The 23,616-nt window shown below is 40.7% G+C and overlaps 1 long non-coding RNA gene across 1 annotated transcript; it reads left to right on the top strand.

Annotated features, from left to right (window-relative positions):
- The first annotated feature begins 1,793 nt into the window (after positions 1–1,793).
- On the top strand, positions 1,794–11,077 carry LOC124905108 (uncharacterized). The gene is made up of 3 exons (XR_007068082.1): positions 1,794–1,988; positions 3,893–3,962; positions 8,177–11,077. It is a non-coding gene; the product is annotated as an uncharacterized LOC124905108 (long non-coding RNA).
- Positions 11,078–23,616: the final 12,539 nt, after the last annotated feature.

Here is a 23,616-nt window from a genome sequence, read left to right as displayed (position 1 = left end):
AGTATAAAAAACTAGTTTTCAACATGCTGCCAAGGCCTAAATACAAAAAGAAGGTGTGATAACATGGTAACACAGAGATGATTAACTGCAGGGAGTAGCAACCACCCCAGGGCTGGAGGAACATGGGATGAGAGATGGCATTAGCAGAGCCCAGGAGTGTACCTGCTACAGCAGGGCTGGGATGCTGCGGGTCAGAGCTGGAGCTGCCCAGGAGAGATGGTCCTAGTCAGTGCTAGAGCCATGCAGGAGGGTGCTACTGAAAGAACTGAAGAGGGGACACCCTGCTGAGGCTATGGTCACCAAAAAGAGAGAAGCTGTGGCTAAAGCTTAGATTATGTAAAAGGATGCAACCCTTTCTGAAGACACAGCCAAAAGCAGGAAAATGGAACAAATTCAAGACTTTCCTCTCCCTAACAGTGTCTCCTTGTTGGCAAAAGCAAACAAGAAGCCAGATGGTAGGAGAGTTCAGGAAGTGTAATTCACACCGGCTCCCAGCTTTGACATTATAGGAAAAGGTACAGGAAGATCACCTCTACTGGAGAAAGGAGAATAAGCTGCAAGGAAGGAGATGATTACACTGATGATGGCCATGACAACGATGATGACTACTACAGTAAAAATAACAACGGCAACAAATAGCATTTACGACCAGGCACTGTTCTCTAAGCACTTTGCATTTATTGGGAGGGAGAAAGAGGAAAAAGGAGAGGAAACCAGGGGTAAAGAGAGTGAAGAAGGAGGAAACCACAGTGCCATGAGATTTAGCATTTCATCCCTGAGAAATTTCATTTTGTCCTTCCTCTCAATCACATCCCTCCTCTGTACAGACAAAGGAGGAAAAATTAACATTTATTGGATGACAGCTAGGGGCTAGGCACTGTGCTGAGAAATTTTACTACATTACCATATTCAATTTTCACAAGAATCCTGTTAAAAAGGAAAACAGGCTAAAGAGGTTAAATAACTTGCTCACAACCTGCGAATAGTTCACTGACAGTAAAATTTAGTTCTGATTCTATCTGTCTGAAGCTCATGCTGCTAGAAATTAAGTGGAAAAAGTAAAAGCTGTTCTCACTCAGACACCCAACCAACGCTCATCCCTACTTCTTCTCAGAATACTGCTTGGATCTACCAGGAGGCTCTGTGGCCCTGGTGCTGCCTTTTAACTAGGAATGTATGTAGCGAGTTGGAAGCCTCTAGCCTGGAGCAAGCCACGCTGCCCTAAATGGGATGTGCTTTGAGAGAGGGGTTTTGAAGTTGATAATGAAAGTAATTCTTCCCCTAATGGAGCCGAAATAGCAGACCTTGAAAGCCTGTCAAGCAAAGAATAGTTTAAAAGAAAAAGAAAAAAAAGACAGAAAAATTAGAAGTGCCACCATAATCCACTCCCTAAAAAGAGGAATATAATTCAAGAAACAGTAAGTTATCTAAACTGAATAGCAGGAAGAGACCCATCAACTGTCTTGCAAGGAGCTGCAGCTGTGAAGGCTCCCTGGTGTACAGGTGCCTCTGTTGGGAGAGTAGCAACCTGAACTGTAGTCGGTCAAGTACATGTCAATGTGAACAGGTTTAGTGTCCTTTACTGGAGAGACCACCTTGATAATGGAAGGAGATAGAAGCATTCATGCCCTAGTGCTCAAAGCAGGAAGCAAAAGGGACCACAGTATTAGTTTTCTATCATTGTTGGTTTCTATCACTACAGAACAAATTATGACACACTTAGTGGCTTAGAACAACCCACTTATTATTATCTCACAGTTTCTGTGCATCAGGAGTCTAGGCATGACTTAGGGTCCTCTGATCAGAGTCTCAAAAGGTGGCTATCAAGTTGTCGGTCAGAGCTGGGTTCTTGTACGAGGTCTCCTTTCAACCTCATGTGGTTGTCAGACAACACTCAATTCCTTGTAGTCGCAGGATTTGTGGACTTGCTTCTTCAAAGCCAGCCACAGAGAAAGAACAGCAGGGAAGATTGAGAAAGTCAGTCTCGTGTGAGTACACCAGTGGAACATGCCCTTATGCAACATAACGTATCACAGGAGTGAAGTCCGTTCACCTTTGATATACTTATTGGTTAGAAGCAAGTGATAAGTCCCATTCATAGTGAAGGAGAGGGAATACTAGAAGGACATGAACCCCAAAAGCCCCAGAGGCAGGAGTCAAGAGTCTGTCTTCCACAGTCACTGAGGCTGCAGACCAGAGTAGTGATAAGATGCTGATAAGAACCTCCCTGGCTTTCTTACCTTCTCTCTCTCTTCATCTTATCCTATACACCCACTCTTTTCTTACCTTGCACTCCCACCAACCCCGTAACACCATGCAGCAGCTTCTGATCTTTCCACATTTCCCAGGGATCCATTTGCCAGGAAACAACACCAGAAGACTTTGCTGCTCACGGCTTTCCTGGAAGTCCGGGAGAAGGAAAGAAGGCCTTTGGAGGGCTCTGTGTGCATCAGCAGATACATTTCTAGGGCCTCTGCCCCAGGGCCTAGTGTGGGAATGGATTAGCAGGTGATGAGAAGAGGCATGGCTATGTTTAAACCTTCTCACCTATCTAATCTCTTATTGACTGAGAAACATCACAGGGAGGTGTCTGGTAGGAATTAACACTAATTCCTTCCCAACTCTTCAGTGTCCTGGCTCACCCACTGTCTCCTCTGCTGGATGCTCCACGTGGGGTATGTCAGTGAGAGAGGATCCTGGGTAATTGATTAAAAGACTAACACCCCCCTTTGGAAATACATTATCCCTGATCCCACCAATGCTTCCTTAAATAAAACACAGTAAAAGTAAGATCTGGGGCATCCCAAATGAATTAAGAAAGAAAAATGAGAGTGGGGGTGAACACAGAAACAGCATGGGTTTTATTTAAAGAAGAAAGGAGAAGAGATCAAAGAAAAGAAAAATGAAAGAAAAGGAGAGAAGAGAAAAATAAAAGGACTAATTTTTCTCTTAAAGCTTAATTCTGCTGCTAACTGGATCAGACGAGGCCCCCAGGAACCTGTTCATTCACAGTGCATAGTTAGGCTTGCTAAAGGGTGGGATTCAAGGTAGTGAGGCTTCCAACAGGAGCCACATGGTCAGGGACAGGGTCCTGCTGATTACGAAGGTCCTGGCTCTTGTCTCCCAGGTCCAGATTTCCCAGTACATAGCCTGAGACAGAGGAGATATTCTGGAAATGTTTGTCAAATGCACCGGTATTTTGTTTCTTATGCCAATCTTGATTAAGTCATTCTCCTCCAAGGCTATGGTGACCCCATTTTTATGCACATATTATCTATTCATCCATTTATCAGATATTTATTAAGTGCTATGCTACCTACTCAATGTCAGTCACTGTGATGATAAATAGTGCTCTAATAGTGAATCAGCTGACATGGTTACTTTCCTAATGAGCCCCTGCTGTTGGGCAGAAATCCATACAACCTAAACAGTGTTGAAAGTAATACGTTTTAAGTTAGGCACTTAACCCCAATTTTATGGGATACAGAAAACATTTTGGAGCAAGGTACTTCTAAGACCTAGTTGGTGAAAACAGGCAAGATGGCTTAGCACAGGTGTATTTCATTTAAAGGGAAGAGCATGGTAAAAGGCCCAGATGTCAGAGCAGCTCAGTAGAGAAGATGAACATTATTTAGAAGGATGAGAGCAGGGACAAGTGCAAGCTTCCAAGTACAGGAAGGTGATATAATTTGGCTGTGTCCCCACCTAAATCTCATCTTGAATTGCCGTTCCCATAATCCCCATGAGTCGTGGGAGGGACTTGGTGGGAGGTAATTGAATCATGGGGGCAGTTACCTCTATGCTGCTCTCATGATAGTGAGTTCTCCTGACGGTTTTATAAGGTGCTTTTCCCCTTTTTGCTGGGTACTTCTGCTTGCTGCTGCCATGTGAGGAAGGACATGTTTACTTTCCTTTCTGCCATGATTGAAAGTTTCCTGAAGCCTTCCCAGCCCTGTAGAACTGTGAGTCAATTAAACCTCTTTTCTTTATAAATTACCCAGTCTTGGGTATGTCTTTATTAGCAGTGTGAGAACAGACTAATACAGAAGGACGGGGGTCCTGAGACACAAGCCTAGAGGAATGAGCAGCATTAGTCTATGTTTGGTATTTTCTTCTGAGAGAAATGGAGAATGTCCAGAGGACTTTAAGCAGAAAGAACTACATGATCAGACTTGTGTTTAAAAAGCTTTACCCCTGGCATGGGGAATAGATTAAAGGAGATAAAACTGAAGGTAGTCAAACTAGTTAGGAGGCTAAAAGAGAACAGTCCAGATCAGAGATAAAGGTGACCTGAATATAGGTAGAAGTGGAAGAGATGGGGAGAAATGAAGAGATTTGGTGGGGAGAGCGGGGGGGCGGGGGGGGGGAACTGCTAGAATTGAATGGCTAACTGGACTTAGGGGAAGTGTCAGGAATGACTTTCCTCCTGGTATTGGTCTTGTGTAACTGGGTGGAGGGTGGTGCCATTTACTGGAGGGAAGACAGATGATGGGCTCAAATACAGAGGAGCTCAGTTATCTATGGAATGTCCAAGTGGAGACACCCAGTAGGTTTCGGGAGGGAAGCCTGGACTAGAGACCAATATTTGGGCAGCATCAGCATGGGGTGGTAATGAAGGCCACAGCCCAAGTGAGTCTGGGCCAGGAGACATGGATCCTGCAGCCACGCCCCCACCTCTCTGCTCATGCATCCCCCCTGGGTCAGATTCTTGACTCCCAGCCCAAACAAGAAGTGTAGATATGGCTGAGCTCCATTAAAACAAATCTTGCAGCAGTGTTTTGGTCGGGGGACTTCCTTAGCATCAGGTTTGGGCAACAGAAAAGCTTTCTGCTGTTTCTACTGTGATTCCTAGAGCCAGAAATGTGTATTTGGAAAGTTGGCTATTTTTATACTGCCTATATTTGCTGCAATTATTTCCTTTCAGTTTCCCTTAGTGTTTAGTAAAAATCTTTCCAAAAATATAAGCCTGTCTCAGTTGTGTGAAAGGCACAGAAGTAAAGAAAATTTTGTCAAGCTTGGAGCCAACTATTTAAAAGGTGGCTGTGGCTTTAGGAGGCTTGGCTTGGTGTCACAGGAGGAACAAGCTGGAAGGAGACCCACAAGGAAAGTAAAACCCTGAAGAACAGAGTTGGGGGTCACTTGTGCAGCCACCCCTTGCCACCTGAAATTAATCTTCCAATCTGGTTCTCTACTACCACTTGTAGTGGAGTGTTGTGGAAAGATAAAAGACACTGGTGTCAGAAATGAATTTGAACCCTAACACAACCACTTAGCAAACTGAGAAACTTTGGGCAAATTACTTAATTATTCTGGGCCTCCATCTTCTCATAGGCAAAATAAAAATAATAACGAACTTGGAGTGTTTTTAGAATAATGCCTGCAAAACTCAAGGCTTAGAGCAAGCGCTCAGTATATGGTGCCTGTTGCAATTATTACCCTGTGGGTGGCCGTAAGTAATGAAAATGGCCAAGGACTAGAATTCAGAAATCAAAGATGGTCCTTAAGTAACAGAATCAAGTGGACCAAATGGCAAACATAATGTAGGTTAGCATCTGGTCAAAGCCAGGCAATGAGTTCAAACCCAAGAGGTCTGCAGGAAGCAGAAGGACAGAACAAAGTACATAAGCGTCCCCAACCTTGAAAAGATGGCAGCCTGAGATCATGTCCTGCTCTAGCTTCTCGCATTTCTCTTGCTGGAACAGAGGTCTACTCCTGGGCTTGGTTTCCCTGTGATCTGAGGCTGGTCCAATAGCCAGAGAGAGCAGGTGGCTGGAACATTATGGTTTTTCTGATATGCTGAGGTGCTCTCTCAAATCATTCATGCTGAGTCCTTGCTGCTTGCCAGTGGCTCTGAGTATAGCCCACAAGCTCTATTTTTCCTATCCACTCTTTCCCACAATCCCTAAGAAATTGAGCAGGATAAAACCTCAACTGCATTTCTACCTGAGCACCTTCCAAAGACTGGGTGAGTGACTACACAGAGAGCAACTCATGGCCTCCAGCCCATTTCCTCCCCCTTGCCAGTTGTCTCTGTTCCTCTTCCCACCTGCCTCCAGTGGGGGTGGATGGATTATAGTCACTTCCTAGGAATTAGAGCTGGAGAGATGACAAAATTGCTAGGGAGCAGGTGTATCTGGCATGGATTCACTCTTTTTGGTGGGGGGTAGATATTTACATCACTGGAGCTGAAAGAAATCATGAAAATCACAGAATCCAGGGGCTGCAAACTCAAATGTAGTCGCCTCAATTCCTCACTCCTTTGTCCTTGGGTCAGAAAAGTGCCCTTCCTGAGAGGCCAGCACATGGTGCTCTCCTGGGGGCACAGGTCTTAAGTTGTCAAAAGAGAATGAGCTTCAAGACTTTTATTCAGAGGAGGGGGATGGAAAGTCATGCCCCTGCTCCTGAATGTGAACGGGGAACCAAGTGGCCCCAGGAGCTGTCAGCATCTAGATCATTAACATAAGAAGTCAGCCTGAGATCAAAGGAAACCACAAAGGAGGGTAGAACCAAGAGATCTGGGGGCAAAGCACAGGAGGACAGGGTAGATTGGAGTTGAAGCCACAGATGTATTGTGAGCCCCTAAATGAAGGAAACTCTGAAACCTGCAGTGCTTTGGGAGTTCCTAGCTGGTGTGCCAGCAAGCCAGTTTGAGTCAGATTTTCCATTCCTTGAAATGTGGGAGCTTCTTCCTGATTTACTGAGGAATCCCTACCCTACTGTTCTCCTCCCACTTTAGATCAACATGGGCCCAGAGTCAAGGAAGCCCTTCTTGCCTTACTCCTTTCTGCACTCTATTTAGAATGCTGGCTGCCCTTTGACTTTGGGAAAATTACTTAAGCTTTTAGGGTTTCAGGTTATCAGTGAGGTGGGACAGTAATAGGCCCACCTCATATAATGTACTTAGCCCAGCACATAAGTGCTCAATGGATACTGGTAGTGGTGGTCATCATTGTAAGTAGTAGTAGTAGTAGTAGTAATAGTAGTATTGGTGTTGATATTAGTGATGCTTAATTTTATGTGGTAACTTGACTGGCCACAGGGTGCCTCAATTTAACACTTTCTGGGGGTGTCTGTAAAGGCATCGCTACATAAAATTGGCATTTGAATCAGGATTTGGGCTCAGAAAAGCAGATGGCCCTCCCCAGAATGGGTGGGCATCACCCAATCCACTGAGGGCCCGGATAGAACAAAAAGGTAGAGGAAGGAGGAATTTGCCTCCCTTTTTTTTTTCCTGCCTCATTGCTTGAGCTGGGACATGTCATCTCATCTTCTCCAGCAATCATGCTGGAATTTACACTGTCATTTCTTCTGGATCTCAGGCCTTCAGACCCAGACTGAATTATACCACTGACTTTCCTGGGACTCCAGCCTACAGAGATCAAGCAGGCTGCAGATTGGGGGACTTGTCAGCACTCATAAACATGTAACACAATTTATATATATATATATATATATATATATATATATATTATATATATTTTATATATATTATATATATTTTATATATATATTATATATATTTTATATATATATTATATATATTTTATATATATATTATATATATTATATATATTTTATATATATTATATATTATATATATTATATATATATGTTTTATATATATTATATATATAAAATATATATATTTTATATTTATATTTTATATATATATGTGTCTGTATCTCAGCACAGAAATAGAATATACTTATTTCATCCCTTTCCATTGAATATATACATACATTTTATATCTATTATATATATATAGAGAGAGAGACAATACATATATGTAGGTATATGGAGAGAGCAAGGGTATATAGTATATAAATTAATCTGTAAATATACGTTTTATAAATGTATATCTATATGTTCATATATACATATATAAACCCTCTCTCTCCATATACCTACATATATATGTATGTATATATTCAATGGAAAAGGATGAAATAAATATGTGTATATATATATATGTATTCTATTGGTTCTGTTTCTTTGAGGAACCCTAATACAGCATTATTACCCAAACCCTAATCCTGAGAAAGTTCTTCCAAATCTGCCATGTGCCCTCCCCCAACTTCCCACCCAATACAGGTCCATTATCATCCCTGCTCTACAGTCTGGGGTAAGTTACTGGGGTAAGATCAGTTAACTTCATATCTGTTCTTGCACAATCTAGGAAAAAGCACAAGGTTTAAGAAGGCCTGGAAGGGGAGACCTAGCAAGTTGCCAGTTGAGAAGAGTAATGGTGTGACCTGGGTGACAGCCAGATCAAGTTGTCTTATCAGAGCAGCTGACAGAGAAAACAGCTGAACAGACTAATCCAAAGCAAAGCCCTTACTGTTGCACTGCTAGCCAACCCAGGCATACCCAAGTCAATTAATAAGCCTAAAGATAAGGAGCAGGGTGAAAATTTGGGCGCAAATTGGAAGACAACTGGAGCAGGGCAGGAGGAAGAACAGATTCCATAGTGATGGTTATTCTGACCTGTGATCTTTGTTGAACTGAACTGCTTTCTCTAGACACCATTGTTACCAAAGGAAATAACACGTTCTCAGTCTACCTTACTGCTTATCGGTTGTGTGGGTCACAGGAATTGGGGGTGAGGGACTGCTTTAAAGGATCAGGATCAGGGTGAACAAAAACTACTGAGGCTTCAGTGTCAGTTATCCCAAAGCCCACATCGATTGTGTGATTCTGTAAATCCTAAACTAAATAGGAGCAACCGTCTCTGATATTTATTTTGTGCGACTGTCAACCTCAAATGCCATCCTGAATTCTGTATATGACAGTCACCAGCCTGCCTGATACCTCGTTGATCGACTTTTCCCCATGCTACCAAGCCATGCCAGGTGGACAGAACAATTCTCCAGGGAAGCCAAGAGCTATCACTTCCTTTTTCTACCTAATATATTTTGTCCCTGATAATCCATTTGTCATATCTGACTTTCTCCTTCCTGCTGGCAGCAACCAGAGACCCTCTCATTACACGACTGCCAGGTTTGCTTCAGCCTGAACTGCTGCAGAATTAACTTGTCATGTCCGCTCCACCATGGGAACCTGTGGGGAGTCAGAGCCTCAAACAGCTGAAACACCGGAGGGAAAGATTTCCTGCCTGTCTCACTTCCATCTACAGCACCATGGTGCACTCATTAAGGCGTGGGTTGGAAGGTGCTATAGACAGATACGCGCACTGGGAGGATGGAACCTGCTTTTGAACTTAAAACCATGAAGACACGTGTTTGTAAGACATTTTGCACCTTTCAAAAACATTCTCAGATGTGAACAGGCCATAGGGAGGTGATTATTTCTCTTTTCACAGAGTTAGTTGCCATGTTGCAGAGAAATCTCTGAACTCTAAATCAGGAGCATCAGTTTAAGTAATGTCTCTGCTACTAACCAATTTATCAATCTATGCAAAGTTACTTAACTTTTCCAATCCGCAGCTTTTTCAGCTCCAAAATGAAGGCAATAAAACCAATGTTAAAGGCACTTGATTAAATGAAGATATTAAATGCTTTATAAATTTTGAAGTACTATACACATCGATCCATTAGGATGATTATACTATGAAAGCGCAGCTCAAGCTGCAATGAAGCATCAGAGAAGGCAGGTAGGGCAGTGGGTGCCCCGGAGTTCTGGTCTCTACTCCTTTTTCTCACTCTGTGGCCTGGGGTGAGTCATTTAACTTTCTTGTGGATCCATTATTTCATTTATAAAACGGAAAATAATAAAAACTATTTTGAGATTAATTTTGAGGATTACATTAGATAGTGCAGGTAAAGTATTCTAGCACACAGGCTAGCATACCATAAACCTTCAACGAACAGTTCGCATCATCATCAGTATTAACTTCTGGTTAACTAAACATCTGGACCAGAGTCCATGATTTCTGGTTTAGTGCTGCAGAAGTTTCTGTTAATTTGATGAACCTGACTTCAAACCACAGAATATTAGAACTAGGAGCACACGATACCATAGCTACCTTTCTGTTTCTACAGACAAGAGATCTGGAGCTTACATAAGAAAGCGAATTGTTCAAGGTCATAGATGGAATAGGAAAAGAGCTCAGACTTCAGCCCAGTTCTGGGCTCTCAGTCCAGTATGCCTTCCACCATCCCATGGAGACAGAGACTCACAGATCTTGGAACCGCAAAGACTGTGAGAGATCATCTAGCTCATTCCATCGCCCATGGTGGAAGGAAGTCACAATGCAGAGAAAGAAAATGGCATGGCATGGTTACATAGGGGCTGGAAGTCATTTCAGTGTATACATATCTTAACACACCATACTGTACACCATGAATATACCCAATTTTTATATGTCAATTATGCTTTAAAGCTGGAAGAAAGGAGAAAAAATATATATATGATACACTTTGTCCGTCTGATTCCAGAGCTTAAGGACATATTTACTCAGTTTCTATTTTTCTCACTTGTGGAAACTCAGGCTTAGAGAGGCAAGTGATTTTCCCATGGTTTAACAGTGATGAAGAGAAGAGCTGGCAGGACTGCCTAGTCCTCCCACTCCAAGTTCACAGCAATTTCCATCAGGTAGTATTTCTCTTATGCAACCTTCACGTGTATACTTTCTGGCCAAGTCTTCCTTGGATTTAACATTCTGGGATTCACATACAAAGTGTTTGGAACATTGGGACCAGGTCATGGTGGACAGGGATTATGCTATTCTGCCTACATGAGAAGTAAGAGAAATGGGGAATAGGATTTGGCAGGTGTCAGGCAACTAGACTGTCAAGGGAATGAAAACTACTTCCTTTAAAACTGGTGTAAGGGGCTAGCTATGCTTAGCTTGAAGAGTAGAGTCCTACCTTTGTGTGGCAAGGTAGGTTTCCATGAAGTTTCCATGAAACTTCTTTACAAATTTTCTGAAAAATGCCAGGTAGAAGAGGAAATAGGTTAACAAACGTGTTATTTGGATTCTGGAGTCAGAGAGCCCTGGTTTTGAATTCTGACTTTACTGCTTCATAACCATGAAAGCTTCCTCAAGTCAGCTGGCCTCAGATTACCTACATCTGTCGCACATAATCCAGTATGAATAATGATGCCCTTGTCCACCTGACTCCAGAGTCCATGTGACTGCACTGAGGATTAAAATGAGCTAAATCCCAATCCAAGGTTCTTTCCACCTCAATGTTCAAAGACCTTACAAGGCCCTAGTCAATTTCCGAAGTAGGAGGTAGGATTACAAAGAATTTCCAAAGCCCTAAATTGTGTGATTATATGTGCCACTTCAATAGACTCAGATATAGACATCATCTATGTCACGTCTGTAATATTTGAGGGGGGAATTATGTCATTTAATGTGTATCAGCATCTGTAAATGATACAGGTGCATTTAATTATGTGGGTTCTCCGTAGAATTACTTTGCCCAAGAAGGTCGTCAGCAGTAGTTTTCATAAAACAACTCTAAAGTTCCTTTGAGACTTCCTGGTATGCAGAGATAAAAAGGCTAATTTCATTATTTTTCAAAAGGAAAAAAAAAAAAGTCTTACTCAGTAGTGGGAGATCTCCCAGTATTCACAACCTGGCACTCCACTCTAAAACAGGCTCCACTCAGGTGGGTGCGGTGGCGCACGCCTTTAGTCCCAGCACTTTGGGAAGCTGAGGTGGGCACATCATCTGAGGTCAGGAGTTCGATATCAGCCTGGTCAACATGATGAGACCTCCACCTCTACTAAAAATATAAAAATTAGCTGGGTGTGGTGATGTGTACCTGTAGTCTCAACTAGTTTGAGGCTGAGGCAGAAGAATTGCTTGCAGCCAAGAGGTGAAGGTTGCAGTGAGCCAAGATCATGCCACTGCACTCCAGCCCGGGTAACAGAGTGAGACTCCATCTCAAAAATTAAAAAAATAAAAAGGCCCCATTCCTTTCTTGGATTCCCCATTCCTTTGCTTCTGGTTTCTTCTCTGGGTTGGCCTATTCAGATTGATGTTTGGGTTCGTTGAACTTCATGATTAGTTTTCAATTTATTCTTCCTTGATCTGGCCCACCCCTGTGCCAAGCTCAGGTTTTCCCAAATCGTCTTCTTCTTGCTGCTGCTGCTGCTACTACTATCACTCATTCATAGAGAAGTTGCAACTCATTGAGATGGAAATAAAAAATGATTGTATTTTTTCAGGACCTCTCCCCAAACTCTGTTATATATATTTTACTGAAATTTTATGGAAATACATATATACAGAAGCATGCACAAATTAAAATAAATTCCACAAAGCGAAAAACATTTGTAATTACGACACAGGTCAAAAAATAGAGCATTACCAGAAAAATAGGAGCTCCCTTTGAGCTCTCTCATGGGCGCTATTTCCTCCTCTTCTCCAAAGCTAACTATTATTTTTACTTCTAACATCAGAAACTATTTCTATATTTTATGAAGATTACTATAATGGAGTTATACAGTATGCATTATTTTGTGTCAAACATTGTTTACTCAACATTACCTAATATCCACTCACATTGTGAATAGCAGTATTTTGCTCATTTTCATGGCTTAATAGTACTCTATTTTTATGCATATGCCGTAAGAGATCAAATCAGTCTTCTGTTGGACATTTAGGTTTCCAGTTTAGAGCTATTATAAATAATGCTGCTATAAAACATCTCCACATTTAATTTAGTGCACATATGTATACTTTTCTGTAAGATATATATCTAGGGGTAGCATCGCTAGGTCATAATATCTGCATATATTCTGTTTTAGGAGTTATTGCTAAATAGTTCACCAAATTGGTTGTACTAATTTACACTCCCACCAGCAATGTTTGAGAATGCCGATTTCTCCAATTCCATGCTAAAATTTAGTATTGTCAGTCTCTTTAAGTCATGCTGGTGGCTGTGTAGGATTATATTATTTATCTCATTTTATTTAATTTACATTTTCCCAATGAATAAGGAGACCAAGCACATTTTCATATGCTTCTTGGAATAGTTGAATGTCTTAATTTTTGAGGTCTTTTGAAGTTGGTTTATTGAAATACAGTGACATACAGAAGCATTCGCTTATTTTTCTATTGGTTTTTTTTTTAATTGACTGATAGGAATATACACATATAACATATATATTCTTTTTTGGTTTTTTGAGACGAAGTTTCACTCTTGTTGCCCAGGCCGGAGTGCAATGGCTAAATCTCGGCTCACTGCAACCTCCAACTCCTGGTTCAAGCGAGTCTCCTGCCTCAGCCTCTTAAGTAGCTGGGATTACAGGTGCCTGCCACCACGTGCAGCTAATTTTTTGTATTTTTAGTAGAGTCAAGGTTTCACCATGTTGGCCAGGCTGGTCTTGAACTTTTGACCTCAGGTGATCCACCCACCTTGACCTCCCAAAGTGTGGGGATTACAGGTGTGAGCCACTGCACCCAACCTACATGTATTTTATATATATATATATTCTGAACTTGAATTTTTATGTATACAACATACATATAGCAAATATCTTCATCCACGTAATTCTTTCAATGAATATAAATTTCTCAATTTAACGTAATCCAGTCTAGCAAAATATTGGTGTATTTTGTGTCCTAAGTCTTTGCCTGTCTTTCACATTTAAATCTAAAATCTCATCAATGATTCTTGTGAACAGTGTGGCATATGTCATTAACTTTTTAAAATTTAGAAATTCAGTAGACTCAGAACCAATTATTAAACAGCCTTTTCTATGTTGTAGGCCAGCTTTATCAATACCACACAGTGGCCCTTTAAAATTCCCAGTCATGAGGCTAACACTAACCCTAACTCCTGCTACTCCCTAATCCTTCCCCTTCCTGTTACATCACTGCCTAGAGCTTTACCTCTTTCACTTTGTCCTACCAAAATTCAATCTCCCCAGCTCCACCCCTCTCAACTGCCCAAAACCATCTCCTCCCAACATCTCACTCCTGTAGCTTACGTTGGAGGAAAAGGAGAAAACAGTTTTCAAAGAATTCTGATATCTGGTGTATTAATCCAGTTGGGTTACAATAACAAAATACAGTAGTTTCCCCTCATCAGCAGGAAATGTTCCAAGAACCCCAGTGGACACCCTGAAACCTTGGACACCACAGAACTGTATATATACTATATGTTTTCCCATACATACATACCTAGGATTGGGTTACATTTATAAATTAGGCATGATACTCTGTTTTGTGGCTATTGAGTAAAATAACGGTTACTTGAATTCAAGCACCGCAATACTGACAGTCAATCTGGTAATGGATTTGGCTGCAAAGTGACTAACTCAGGTAGCATGTACAGCATGGATCTACGGGACAAATGGGATGATCCACATTCCAGGGTGGACAGAGTGGGACAGTGCAAGATTTCATTATGCTGCTCAGAACAGCACATAGTCTAAAACTTATGAATTGTTTATTTCTAGATTTTCTCTTTTAATCTTTTCAGACCCCAGTTGACTAAGGATAACTGAAACCATGGAACACAAAACCTGAAATAAGGGGTGACCACTGTACCATGGGGCGTGGCTTAAACAACAAAAATTTATTCTCTCATAGCTCTGAAGTCTGGGAGGTCCAAAAGCAAGCTGCCACCTGATTTGGTTTCTGGTGAAGAATATATATGTATATTCCTCGTAGATGGCTGCCTTTTCCTTGTATTCTCCCATGGTAGAGAGAAAAAGAGCGAGCTTTCTGGTGTCTCTTCTTATAAAGATACTAATCCTACTGTATCACCCCCCAATTATGATTGCAATTAACCTTAATTACCTCCTTACAGACCCTACTTTCAAGCACAGTCACATTAGCAGTTAGGGATTTAACATACAAATTTAGGGGGAAGACACAGTTTAGTCCATAATATTCTGCCCCAAACCCCTCAAATTCATGTCTTCATCACATGCAAAATACATTCCTTCCATCCCATCTGCCACAAAGATCTTAACTCATTCCAGCATCAACTCTGAAGTCTGAAGTCCAAAGTCTCATCTAAATATCATCTAAATCAGATATTAATGACACTTAAGGTATGGTTAAACCTGAGACAAAATTCTTTAGTTTTGAAACTGTGAAACCAGACAAGTGATGTCTTCTGAAGTACAATAGTGGGACAAGTGTTAAGATAGACATACCCATTCCAAAAAAACAAATAGGAAAGAAGGAAGGGGCGATGGGTCCCTGATATGGTTTGGCTGTGACCTCACCCAAATCTCATCTTGAATTCCTGTGTGTTGTGGGAGGGATGCAGTGGGATCTAATTGAATCATGGGGCAAGTGTTTCCACTGCTGTTCTTTCGATAGTGAATAAGTCTCATGAGATCTGGTGGTTTTAAAAAGAGGAATTCCCCTGCAAAACTTGCTCTCTTTGCCTGCTGCCATCCATGTACGATCAGACTTGCTCTTCTTTGCCTTCTGCCATGATTGTGAGGCTTCCCCAGCTACCTGGAATTCCAAATCCAATTAAACCACTTTTTGTAAATTGCCCAGTCTCTGGAATATCTATCAGCAGCATGAAAATGGACTAATACAGTACATTGGTACCAGCAGAGTGGGGCATTGCTGAAAAGATACCTGAAAATGTGGAAGCGACTTTGGGACTCGGTAACAGTAAGAGGTTGGAACAGTTTGGAGGGCTCAGAAGATGACAGGAAAATGTGGGAAAGTTTGGAACTTCCTAGAGACTTGTTGAATGTCTTTGACAAAAATGCTGATGGTGATGTGAACAATAAGGTCCAGGCTGAGGTGGTCTCAGATGGAGATGAGGAACCTGTTGGGAACTGGAGCAAATGTGACTCTTGTTATGTTTTAGTAAAGAAACTGGCAGCATTTTGCCCCTGCCCTAGAGATTTGTGCAACTTTAAACTTAAGAGAGATGATTTAGGGTATCTGGTGGAAGAAATTTCTAAGCAGCAAACTATTCAAGAGGTGACTTGGGTGCTGTTAAAAGCATTCAGTTTCATAAGGAAAGCAGAGTATAAAAGTTTGGGAAATTTGCAGCCTGACAATGCAATAAAAAAGAAAAATCCCATTTTCTGAGTAGAAATTAAAGCCAGTTGTAGAAATCTGCATAAGTAACAAGGAGCCAAATGTTAATCCCCAAGACAATGGGGAAAATGTCTCCAGGGCATGTCAGAGGTCTTCATGGCAGCGCTCCCATCACAGGCCCAGAGGCCTAGGAGGAAAAAGTGGTTTTGTGGGCCCAGTCCAGGGTCCCACTGCTGTGTGCAGTCTAGGGACTTGCTGCCCTGCATCCCAGCTGCTCCACATGTGGCTGAAAGGGGCCACTGTAGTGCTCAGGCCATGACTTCAGAGGATGCAAGCCTCAAGCCATAGGAACTTCCATGTGGTGTCGAGCCTGTGAGGGCACAGAAGTCAAGAACTGAGGTTTGGGAACCTCTCCCTAGATTTCAGAAGATGTATGGAAACACTTGGATGTCCAGGCAGAAGTTTGCTGCAGGGGCGGGGCCCTCATGAAGAAGCTCTGCTAGAGCAGTGCAGAAGGGAATTGTGGGGCCAGAGACCCCACACAGAGCCCCTACTGGGGCAATGCCTAGTGCAGCTGTGAGAAGAGCACCACCATCCTCCAGACCCCAGAACGGCGGATCCACCAACAGGTTGTATCATGCACCTGGAAAAGCTGCAGACACTCTACACCAGCCACTGAAAGCAACTATGAGGAAGTCTGTACCCTGCAAAGCCACAGGGGCAGAGCTACCCAAGATCATGGGAACCCACTTCTTGCATCAGCATGACCTGGATGTGAGACATGGAGTCAAAGGAGATCATTTTGGAGCTTTAAGATTAGACTGCCTCACTGGATTTTGGACTTGCATAGGGCCTGTAGCCCCTTTGTTTTGTTTTAGCCAATTCCTCCCTTTTGGAATGGCTGTATTTACCCAATGCCTGTACCCCCACTGTATCTAGGAAGTAACTAACCTGGTTTTGATTTCACAGGCTCATAGGTGGAAGAGACTTGCCTTGTCTCAGATGAGAGTTTGGACTGTGGACTTCTGAGTTAATGCTGAAATGAGTTAAGACTTTGGGGGACTGCTTGAAAGGTATGATTAGTTTTGAAATGTGAGGTTTGGGAGAGGCCAAGGGTGGAATGATATGGGTTGGCTGTGTCCCCACCCAAATCTCATTTTGAATTTGTGTGTGTGTCATGGGAAGAGCCTGGTGGGAGGTAATTGAATCACAGGGCAAGTCTTCCCCATGCTGTTCTCATGACAGTGAATATGTCTCATGAGATCTGATGATTTCAAAAGGAGGAGTTCCCCTGCAAAAGCTCTCTTTGTCTGCTGCCATCCATGTAAGACGTGACTTGTTCTTCCTTTCTTTCTGCCATGATTGTGAGGCATCCCCAGCCATGTAAGTCCAATTAAACCTGTTTTGTAAATTGCTCAGTCTCAGGTATGTCTTTATCAGCAATATGAAAATGGATTAATACAGTCCCAAACGAATCCAAAACCTAGCAAGGCAAATTCCATTAGATATTAAGCCTCATGAATAATCCTCAGTTAGCTTGATGTCCCACCTTCCAAACTCACTGGAATGGCAGCATCACCCTCCTGGCTCTGCTGGGCAGCCCTTGTCCTTTAGCTGGGCGCAGCAATCCCCCTGCCCCTTTGTCTTGGCAAGATTTGTCTCTCAGAAGTCACCATCCATAAGGGTTTCTTCAAGGGCTCCCCTCCCAAAACCGAGGAGAAAACATCCTTGTCTCCTGGGCCTGTGTGGGAGTGGCAGCTCTGAAGCCCTCTGAATCTCTTTCAGAGTGATTTTCTCTTTTCTTGAATAATAGTGTATGTTTGCAGTCAGATACCTCTATGGTTTAATCTTGTAGATTCCAGGAAGTCCAACAGCTGTCCTTCACTCCATATTCCACTTTCTCTGCCTGCTTTAGTTCAAACTGGCAGTGTCTGCTGGTATCATCCCATCTCTATTCCTGACTTCTATTGAGATGACTGATTCGGTCTACAAGTCATATTCATGATCTCCTTATCAAATGGTTGTTTAGTCTCATATTTAGTGTTCTCTTCAGAACAAGGTTTCTTGTTTTTGTTTTTTTTCAATATGGATACTCTGAGAATTTTTCAAGTCTTCAAGTTCTGACTTGGTTTTGCTTAACAATCTCTTATTTAATCCATCCTTCTTCTTTCACAATTTACTATAAGCATTCAGAAGAAACCAAGCCTCTCCTTCAACACTTAGCTTAGGAAACTCCTCAGACTGAGTCCTACAGAAATGAATCCCATGTTGTTGCCCAAAAGTTCCACCTTCTGCAAAACACTAGAACACATTTCAGTGAAGTTCTTTGCCATATTATAACAAGGATTATTTTTTTCCATTTACAATAACAAATTCCTTATTTCCACCTGAGACCTTACCAGTACCTCCCTTAACATCCACACTTTTATAGTATGCATCTCAGAACTCTTCCAGCCTGTACGTCTGAGTTCCAAAGCCACTTTCACATTTTTTAGGCATTTATTACAGCAGCACCACAGTTCTTAATACCAAAATATGTATTAGACTGCTTGGGCTGCTATAACAAATTATAGATTGGGTAGCTTAAATAACAAAAGATTCCAGCTGATTTAATTTCCATTCAGAGCTCTCTTCCTGGCTTGTAGATGGCCACCTTCTTGCTGTGTCCTCACATGGTGGGGAGGACAAGCTCTCTGGTATCTCTTCCTATAAGGACACTAATGCTCAGCATCAGGGCCCCAGCCTTATGACCTCATTTAATTTTAGTTACCTCCTTGTAGGCCTATCTCACACTAGGGGCTAGGGCTTCAACATATGAATTTTGGGAACACAGTTCAGTCCATAGCATCTGTTAATAGAAGTCTTACCATTTTATTCTGTTTTATCAAGATTGTCTGGGTGATTCTCAGTCTTTTCAATTATTATATAAATTTTAGAATCAACTTTTTGATTTTCACAAAAATATTCTAGTAGTATTATTATAATTAACCTGTAGATCAGACTGAAGAGAAGTGGTATCTCAAAAATAGTCTTCCAATTTATAAATATGGTATATCCTTCCAATTATGTTTGGTACATTTTATTTGTGAATTTCTGTTTGTATATTTTGATGTTGCACTGTCTGATACATATTCACAATTGTTGTATCCTATAGGTGTATTAACCTTTTATCATATCTATTTATCTCAAATAATTTTCTATTATAAATTCAACATTCTCTTATATTAATATAGCTTTGATAGACTGTTTCCACTCCTCTAAATACTTTTATTTAAGGAATATCTCAAACGCAGTTGTGGCACTTAATTCAATTTTAAAATCCTAGTCTTTAATTGGAATATTTAATCCATTTACATTTAATGTAACTATTAAATATAAACCCAAATTTGAGATTATAACTAAAATCTTACTATTTGGTTCTTTTTTTCCTCTATTTTCTTTTTCTCTGATCTCTTGACTTTGGATTTAAAAAAAAAAAATCATGTCTCCTACTAGCCTGCCAATTGTATTTTTTTGCTAGTCTTTTAATGGTTACAAAAGACATCAAAAATTTATCATTTGCTTATCACAATCTAATAGAAATTATTTTTAAGCCACTTCCCAGACAGTGCAAAGGTAGAAGTATTTTATATCTATTTAACTCACTTGCATTTTGTATTACTGTTGTCACATATTCTACATAGAGCTTAAGCCCTAAGTATTATTCTTTTATTTTATTGATTTATATGTTTAAATCTTCATTTTTTCATTTACATACATATTTACTTTTTCTGTTGCTTTTCATTTCTTCTTTAATTCTGTGCTATTCTGAGAATATTTTCTCCTACATGAAGACATTTGGTATTTCATTTAACATGGGTAAGATGGTAATAAATTCAGCTTTAATTGAAAATGTCTATTTCACTTTAATTTTTGCTCTGAGCAGAAATTTAAGTTGGCAGTTATTTTAGCACTTTGAAATTTGTCTTCCGAACTCTGTCATTTCTATTGAGACACAAGTTTTCTTACTGATGCTCTTTTGAATGTAATGTGTCTCTTTGGCTACCTTAAAAGTTTTCTATTTGTCTTTGGTTTTCAACTAACTTACTATAATGTACCTACATGTGTTTTCTTTATATTTATTAATCTAGAGATCTGTTAAACACCTATAATCTGTGACTTAAGTTTGTCATTCATCAGTTTAGAGAAATTCTCAGCTAATATCTATCTATATATGTATAATATATATCTATATATGTATATATGTATATATCTATATATGTATATATATCTATATATGTATATCTATCTATATATGGATATATGTATATCTATCTATATATGGATATATGTATATATATCTATATATGGATATATGTATATCCATATCCGTATATGTATATGTATATCCATATCCATATATACATATGTATATGTATATATCAATATATCTATATGTGTATATATCTATATATCTATATATGTATATATATCGATATCTATGTATATATATCTATATCTATATATATCTATATATATTTTTTTTTTTTGAGACAGAGTCTTGCTCTGTCGCCCAGGCTGGAGTGCAGTGATGCAATCTGGGCTCACTACAAGCTCTGCCTCCTGGTTTCACACCATTCTCCTGCCTCAGCCTCCAGAGTAGCTGGGACTACAGGTGCCTGCCACCATGCCCGGCTAATTTTTGTTGTATTTTTAGTACAGACAGGGTTTCACCATGTTAGCCAGGACGGTCTTGATCTCCTGACCTCGTGATCCACCCGCCTCAGCCTCCCAAAGTGCTGGGATTACAGGCATGAGCCACCATGCCCGGCCGCTAATATCTCTTCAAATATTGTTTCTGCTTTATTCTTTCTCACCTCTATTCTGTGATTTCCCTTATACATGTTAGCCTTTTTCACTCCTGTATTGTATATTTTGCATTTTTTTCTGCATACCCCCATTAATTTTTCTCTTCATGCTCGTCTGGATTTTTTTAAAATAGATCATCATTATAGTCTTTCTTTGCTCCCATCTAATCTACAGTTAAACCAAGTAATCAAATTCTAAACTTTAGTTACTGCATTTGTGTATTCTAAAATTTTAATTTGTTATTTTTCTGGTTCCCAGGTCTATGATGAAAATTTCCAATTTGCCTAAATCTTTGAGCATGTTAGTATTCTTAAAGTCCATTTTTAATAACTTTAGTATCTATATCTCCTGTGCGTATCTTTTCATTATTGGTTTTTCTCTTGTTTTGTCTTCTAGTACACTTGGTAATATTTTATCGAATGCTGTTTTCCATTATTTTTAATGGGGGCTCTGAAAAATATTTTTTCTAAAGAGAGGATGTTATTTTATTTGTAATTGGCAACAAGGGTAAAGAGAGATCATCTCTGTTCTTATTTTATAAAGGATTTTGTAAAGGCTAGTCTATTTCCAGTTTTCTTTCTAGCAGAAGGCAGCCCTTCAGGATTTTTTTTTTAAGTCTCACTCTGCCATGTAGGCTGGAGTGCAGTGGCGCAATCTTGGCTCACTGCAACCTCTGCCTCCTGGGTTCAAGCAATTCTCCTGCCTCAGCCTCCTGAGTAGCTGGGATTACAGGTGCACACCACCACGCCTGGCTAATTTTTTTGCATTTTTAGTAGAGACAGGGTTTCACCATGTTGACCAGGATGGTCTTGATCTCCTGACCTCATGATCCACCCACCTCGGCCTCCCGAAGTGCTGGGATTAGAGGCATGAGCTACCGTGCCTGGCCACGATTCTTAATTAAAATTTATTTGTCTGGTTTCCAGTTCTATGATGAAAATTTTCAATTCATCTAAATTTTTGAGCATGTTAATATTTTTAAAGTCCATTTTTAATAACTGTAGTCTCTTTTTTAAATTAAAAATCCTGAACGGCTGCCTACTACTAGTGTGGTTTCTCCCTGATGAATCCTAAAAGTCTAATTATTTTCCCCCTCTATGTCCATGAGATGGGTGGAAGCTTTGCCTGTCTATGCAGACTTCTAACCACCACTTTTTGCTCAGCCTCTCAAGTCCCTCTTTTGAATCAGCAAATGTTACAGGGAAAAGTAGCACCCAAAGTCAGGTTGACTTCTCTCTGGAATCTTGACCCCTCAAGTCTTAGCTGTCTTGATAGCTCTCCAGTTCCTTCTTATTTTTGTCCAGTTTTTCTTCTTGTTCTTGGAGGGTTCATCTGAACAAGCTAATTCATATTTGCCAAAAGTAGAAATTCCAACTGTTATCACAGGAAGTCCCCTCTCCCCTTAATAGTGTGTTTCTTAATGGCATAGTGGCACCAACCCACCACTCTTTCACCATTTTAATGTCTAACACTTTGTGTCTCATTCAAAGCTCTTCCCTGTTTCAGAGCAGCCTAAGCTACAAGTGGGGTGGTGGGGAGAAATCCTCTATTTTACCTTGCTTCTTCCCCGAGTATCCTCTGGTGTTAAGCTAGCAGGAGAAACAAGGAGACAGAAGTGTCATTACATGAAGGCATATACCATAGTGAGTTGGCAGGTCTTTTTCTGTCAATAGCCTCTGCTCCTTGACATTGATGGGCTTAAGGATTCTTTGTGTAACAGTCATCAAAATACTGACTCTTTCATGAAAAACACTTGTTGGTTAATCACCAGCCCTGTGGGTCTCCAAACCCTAAATACATACACCATCTTGGAGAATGAAAGACCTAGATCAAGTTTGTGCTTTCCACCTTCCCAATCCCTAATACCACTGATATACTACATAAACTTTTTGTTCGTTTGTTTGTTTGTTTTTTTGAGATGGAGTCTCGCTCTGTCACCCAGGCTGGAGTGCAGTGGTGTAATCTCGGCTCACTGCAACCTCCACATCCCAGGTTTAAGCAATTCTCCTGCCTCAGCTTCCCCAGTGGCTGGGACTACAGGCTAGATTCCCTTCATCTAGACCTCAGTCTTACTGAGCACGAATTTAGCAAAACAGCTCAAGCCCAGTTGGCTTCTGGGGTTTCTTTTCAATCCATACGAAACTTATATATCTTATCCATGCCAAATAGTAGACTATGGAACTGCCTTGTTGGAGGAGAGAATAAGGCTGATTTTAATCAGCTCTGCCATCTCTCTCCTGTTTCTTTCTCTTAATCCCAACATTAGTAAACATTCTACAGATCCAGCGGCACTATAAAATTTCTAGGAGAGTTGTACTAGACCCCAGGGCAGAGGACAGAGGTGTCAGTATGGATATATCGACACTCTCCTTTGTCCCTCTGGTTTGAATGGAGAAGTGAAGTAATGAGCAATGGGAGAAAGCCTCTCTTCATAAGCAGTTTTCTCCCCAGAGCAGCTTGTCTCATTTGCAGCCCTCATCTAATATTGACTGTCTGAGGACTCTAGTGGGTGAGAGCTACGGACAGTGTCTAAACTGGTGCCTTGTAGTTAGCCCTCTGATATGGGGGCTGATATCAACTGATGGCAGTTTTGTTAAGTTGCAATATGTGATACTTATCTTCTTTACTCAGTTTTGGACCTTAGCCAAAATTCTAGAAGAATAGGAAAAACCCTGCTTGACACCCTTAGAATAGCAATTGTTATTAATAACACATAGGAAAATACAATACATATTATATTAAGCATGCTTCAAATACTTTGCAGTTCAACCTCTACCTTAATTTAATCTTTATAACCACCCTATGAGGAAGATACTATAGTAGTCCTCCCTTAT

Source organism: Homo sapiens, chromosome 22, assembly GCF_000001405.40.
Source record: "Homo sapiens chromosome 22, GRCh38.p14 Primary Assembly".
NCBI classification, from domain to species: Eukaryota; Metazoa; Chordata; class Mammalia; order Primates; family Hominidae; genus Homo; species Homo sapiens.
This window is presented reverse-complemented; position numbering and strand designations above follow the sequence as displayed.